At 37.1% G+C, this 5,744-nt stretch overlaps 1 annotated feature.

Annotated features, from left to right (window-relative positions):
* Positions 224-378: a silencer, noted in NCBI's record as "fragment chr14:80506850-80507004 (GRCh37/hg19 assembly coordinates)". NCBI's record gives its function as "represses an EF-1alpha promoter that drives an FKBP-Casp9 reporter gene in an ReSE screen in K562 erythroleukemia cells {active_cell/tissue: K562}" and the evidence as "EXISTENCE:reporter gene assay evidence [ECO:0000049][PMID:32094911]".

The raw sequence follows: 5,744 nt of genomic DNA on the forward strand, positions 1-5,744 counted from the left end.
GAAATATGGGACAATGTGAAAAGACCAAATCTATGTTTGATTGGTATACCTGAAAGTGATGGGGAGAATGGAACCAAGTTGGAAAACACTTTTCAGGATATTATCCAGGAGAACTTCCCCAACCTAGCAAGGCAGGCCAACATTCAAATTCAGGAAATACAGAAAATACCACAAAGATACTCCTTGAGAAGAGCAACCCCAAGACACATAATTGTCAGATTCACTAAGGTTGAAATGAAGGAAAAAATGTTAAAAGCAGCCAGAGAGAAAGGTCAGGTTACCCACAAAGGGAATCCCATCAGACTAACAGTGGATCTCTCAGCAGAAACCTTAGAAGCCAGAAGAGAGTGGGGACCAATATTCAACATTCTTAAAGAAAAGAATTTTCCACCCGGAATCTCATATCCAGCCAAACTAAGCTTCATAAGCAAAGGAGAAATAAAATACTTTACAGACAAGCAAATACTGAGAGATTTTGTCACCACCAGGCCTGCCTTACAAGACCTCCTGAAGGAAGCACTAAACACGGAAAGTAACAACTGGTACCAGCCACTGCAAAGCATGCCAAATTGTAAAGACCTTTGATGCTATGAAGAAACTGCATTGATTAACGGGCAAAATAACCAGCTAACATCATAATGACAGGATCAAATTCACACATAACAATATTAACCTTAAATGTAAGTGGGCTAAATGCCCCAATTAAAAGACACAGACTGGCAAATTGGATAAAGAGTCAAGACCCATCAGTGTCCTGTATTCAGGAGACCCATCTCATATGCAAAGACACAAATAGGCTCAAAATAAAGGAATAGAGGAAGATCTACCAAGAAAATGGAAAGCAAAAAAAAAAGCAGGGGTTGTAATCTTAGTATCTGATAAAACAGACTTTAAACCAACAAAGGTCAAAAGAGACAAAGCAAGCCATTACATAATGGTAAAGGGATCAATTCAACAAGAAGAGCTAACTATCCTAAATATATATGCACCCAATACAGGAGCACCCACATTCATAAAGCAAGTCCTTAGAGACCTACAAAGAGACTTAGACTCCCACACAATAATAATGGGAGACACTAATAATGTCTAATATTGACACCCCACTGTCAATATTAGACAGATCAATGAGACAGAAGGTTAACAAGGATATCCAGGACTTGAACTCAGCTCTGCACTAGGCAGATCTAATAGACATCTATAGAACTTTACACCCCAAATCAACAGAATATATGTTCTTCTCAGCAACACATCACACTTTTTCTAAAATTGACCACATAATTGGAAGTAAAGCACTCCTCAAAAAATGTAAAAGAACAGAAATCACAACAAATTTCCTCTCAGACCACAGTGCCATCAAATTAGAACTCAGGATTAAGAAACTCACTCAAAACCATACAACTACATGGAAACTGAACAACCTGCTCCCGAATGACTACTGGGTACAGGCAAAAATGAAGATGTTCTTTGAAACCAATGAGAACAAAGACAGAACGTACCAGAATCTCTGGGACACATTTAAAGCGGTGTGTAGAGGGAAATTTATAGCACTAAATGTCCACAAGAGAAAGCAGGAAAGATCTAAAATCAACATCCTAACATCACAATTAAAAGAACTAGAGAAGCAAGAGCAAACAAATTCAAAAGCCAGCAGAAGACAAGAAATAACTAAGAACAGAGCAGAACTGAAGGACATAGAGACATAAAAAACCCTTCAAAAAATCAATGAATCCAGGAGCTGGTTTTTTGAGAAGATCAACAAAATTGATAGCCCTCTAGCAAGACTAATAAAGAAGAAAAGAGAGAAGAATCAAATAGACACAATAAAAAAAAGATGAGATATCACCACCAATCCCACATAAATACAAACTACCATCAGAGAATACTATAAACACCTCTACACAAATAAACTAGAAAATCTAGAAGAAATGGATAAATTCCTGGACACATACACTCTCCCAAGACTAAACCAGGAAGAGATTGAATCTCTGAATAGACCAATAACAGGCTCTGTAATTGAGGCAATAATTAATAGCTTACCAACCCAAAAAGGTCCAGGACCAGAGGGAATCACAGCTGAATTCTACCAGAGGTACAAAGAGGATCTGGTACCATTCCTTCTGAAACGATTCCAATCAACAGAAAAAGAGGGAATCCTCCCTAACTCATTTTATGAAGCCAGCATCATCCTGATACCAAAGCCTGGCAGAGACACAACAAAAACAGAATTTTAGACCAATATCTCTGATGAACATCGATGCAAAAATCCTCAACAAAATACTGGCAAACTGAATCCAGCAGCACATCAGAAAGCTTATCCACCATGATCAAGTCGGCTTCAACCTGGGATGCAAGGCTGGTTCAACATATGCAAATCAATAAACATAATCCATCACATAAACAGAACCAACGACAAAAACCACATGATTATCTCAATAGATGCAGAAAAGGCCTTTAACAAAATTCAACAGCCCTTCATGCTAAAAACTCTCAATAAACTAGGTACTGATGGAATGTATCTCAAAGTAATAAGAGCTATTTATGACAAACTTACAGCCAATATCATATGGAATGGCCAAAAACTGGAAGCATTCCCTTTGAAAACTGGCACGAGAAAAGGATACCCTCTCTCACCACTCCTATTCAACATAGTGTTGGAAGTTCTAGCCAGGGCAATCAGGCAAGAGAAAGAAATAAAGGGTATTCAATTAGGAAAAGAGGAAGTCAAATTGTCCCTGTCTGCAGATGACATGATTGTATATTTAGAAAACCCCATCATATCAGCCCAAAATCTCCTTAAGCTGATAAGCAGCTTCAGCAAAGTCTCAGGATACAAAATCAATGTGCAAAAATCACAAGCGTTCCTATACACCAATTAACAGACAGACAGCCAAATCATGAGTGAACTCCCATTCACAATGGCTACAAAGAGAATAAAATACGTAGGAATCCAACTTACAAGGGAAGTGAAGGACCTCTTCAAAGAGAACTACAAACCACAGCTCAACAAAATAATAGAGGACACAAACAAATGGAAGAACATTCCATGCTCATGGATGGGAAGAATCAATATTGTAAAAACGGCCATACTGCCTAAGGTAATTTATAGATTCAATGCCATCCCCATCAAGCTACCAATGACTTTCTTCACAGAATTGGAAAAAACTACTTTGAAGTTCACATGGAACCAAAAAAGAGCCCGCATCGCCAAGACAATCCTAAGCCAAAAGAACAAAGCTGGAGGCATCATGCTACCCCTGACTTCAAATTATACTACAAGGCTGCAGTAACCAAAACAGCATGGTACTGGTACCAAAGCAGATGTATAGACCAATGGAACAGAATAGAGGCCTCAGAAGTTACCACCACACATCTACAATCATCTGATCTTTAGCAAACCTGACAAAAACAAGCAATGGGGAAAGGATTCCCTATTTAATAAATGGTGCTGGGAAAACTGGTTAGCCATATGTAGAAAGCTGAAACTGGATCCCTTCCTTACACCTTATACAAAAATTAATTCAAGATGGATTACAGATTTAAATATTAGGCCTAAAACCATAAAAACCCTAGAAGAAAACCTAGGCAATACCATTCAGGACATACGCATGGGCAAGGACTTCATGACTAAAACATCAAAAGCAATGGCAACAAAAGCCAAAATAGACAAATGGGATCTAATGAAACTAATGAAATGATCTAATGAATCTAATGAAACTTCTTCTGCACGGCAAAAGAAACTACCATCAGAGTGAACAGGCAACCTACAGAATGGGAGAAAATTTTTGCAATCTACCCATCTGACAAAGGGCTAATATCCAGAATCTACAAAGAACTTAAACAAATTTACAGGAAAAAAACAAACCCATCAAAAATTGGGCAAAGTATATGAACAAACACTTCTCAAAAGAAGACATTTATGCAGCCAACAGACACATGAAAAAATGCTCATCATCACTGGTCATCAGAGAAATACAAATCAAAACCACAGTGTGATACCATCTCATGCCAGTTAGAATGGTGATAATTAAAAAGTCAGGAAACAACAGGTGCTGGAGAGGATGTGGAGAAATAGGAATGCTTTTACACTGTTGGTGGGAGTGTAAAATAGTTCAACCATTGTGGAAGACAGTGTGGTGACTCCTCAAGGATCTAGAACTAGAAATACCATTTGACCCAGTGATTCCATTACTGGGTATATACACAAAGGATTATAAATCATGCTACTATAAAGACACATGCACAAATATGTTTATTGTGGCACTATTCCCAATAGCAAAGACTTGGAACCAACCGAAATGTCCATCAGTGATAGACTGGATTAAGAATATGTGGCAAATATATGCCACAGAATACTATGCAGCCATAAAAAAGGATGAGTTCATGTCCTTTGCAGAGACATGGATGAAGCTGGAAACCATCATTCTCAGCAAACTATCACAAGGACAGAAAACCAAACACCGCATATTCTCACTCATAGGTGGGAACTGAACAACGAGAACACTTGGACATAGGGCAGGGAACATCACACACCAGGGCCTGTCAGGGGGTGGGGGTTTGGGGGAGGGATAGCATTAGGAGAAATACCTAATGTAAATGATGAGTTGATGGGTGCAGCAAACCAACATGGCATATGTATACCCATGCAACAAGACTACACATTGTGCACATGTATCCTAGAACTTAAAGTATAATAATAATAATAAAAATCCTCTAGTGAAAAAAAAAAAAGGAGAAAATCTTGTCATTTGCAGCAAAATGGATGAATCTGGAGGACATGGTTAAGTGAAATAAGCCAGGTACAGAAAGACAAATACTACATGATCTCATATGAAAAGTATTTTAAAAATCAAACTTACAGAAAGTTTGATTTTCAAATCAAATTTTATGAAAATTTTATATCAAATTTTATATTGGTATGAAATGGTGCTTATCAGTGGCTGGGGAGCAGAAAGCTTGGGGAAATGTTGGTCAAAGGCCATTAAATTTTAGTTAGGAAGAATAACTTTAAGAGATCTATTATATATTATAGTGACTATAGTTAATAACAATGAATCATATACTTGAACATTGCTAAGACAATGGATTTTGTGGGTTCTCACCGCAAAAAAATGATAAGTAATGATCTGAGGTAATGCATATGTTAAGTAACTTGATTTGGCCATTTCACAATGTATACATACATCAAACATTGTGTTGTACACCATAAATATATATTTTTACTTAATTTTTTAAAAGGCCAAAGATATCTACAAATTATGTTGGAGGAAAAGACCAAGAAAGGAATAGTCCCAGCAATGATGGTCTGACAAAAGTCAGGGATAATAAACAGAACTTCCTAGAATAATATTTTACCTTATACTCACTGTGAAAAGGCTTGTTAGGATAAGAGATGTAAGAAAGAACTAGTTTCACTGACTGAATTTAAATCTCCTAACCAAAATGAGTGATTTTCCTGACTACAAAGAGTCTTATTTACGAGAGTACTAAACCCTTTATTAAAAGGAAGGTGCAAGAGGATAGGATATGACCGTGTGGTCCTGTGAATGATCGCCTGGTTAGATTTCTGGCAATTTGGTGCAATCTATTCACTTATAAGGGGTTTATGAGCACTTTGATAACAATGATTATTATTTCATTTTTAAGCTTGAGTTTACAATGCAGAAGTCTTACTAGATCTACCTCGTTTTATTTTTGGATAATTTCTTTTTTCTTTTTCTTTTTTTTTTTTTTTTGAGACGGAGCCT

The sequence above is a fragment of the Homo sapiens genome, chromosome 14 (assembly GCF_000001405.40).
Source record: "Homo sapiens chromosome 14, GRCh38.p14 Primary Assembly".
Lineage (NCBI taxonomy): Eukaryota > Metazoa > Chordata > Mammalia > Primates > Hominidae > Homo > Homo sapiens.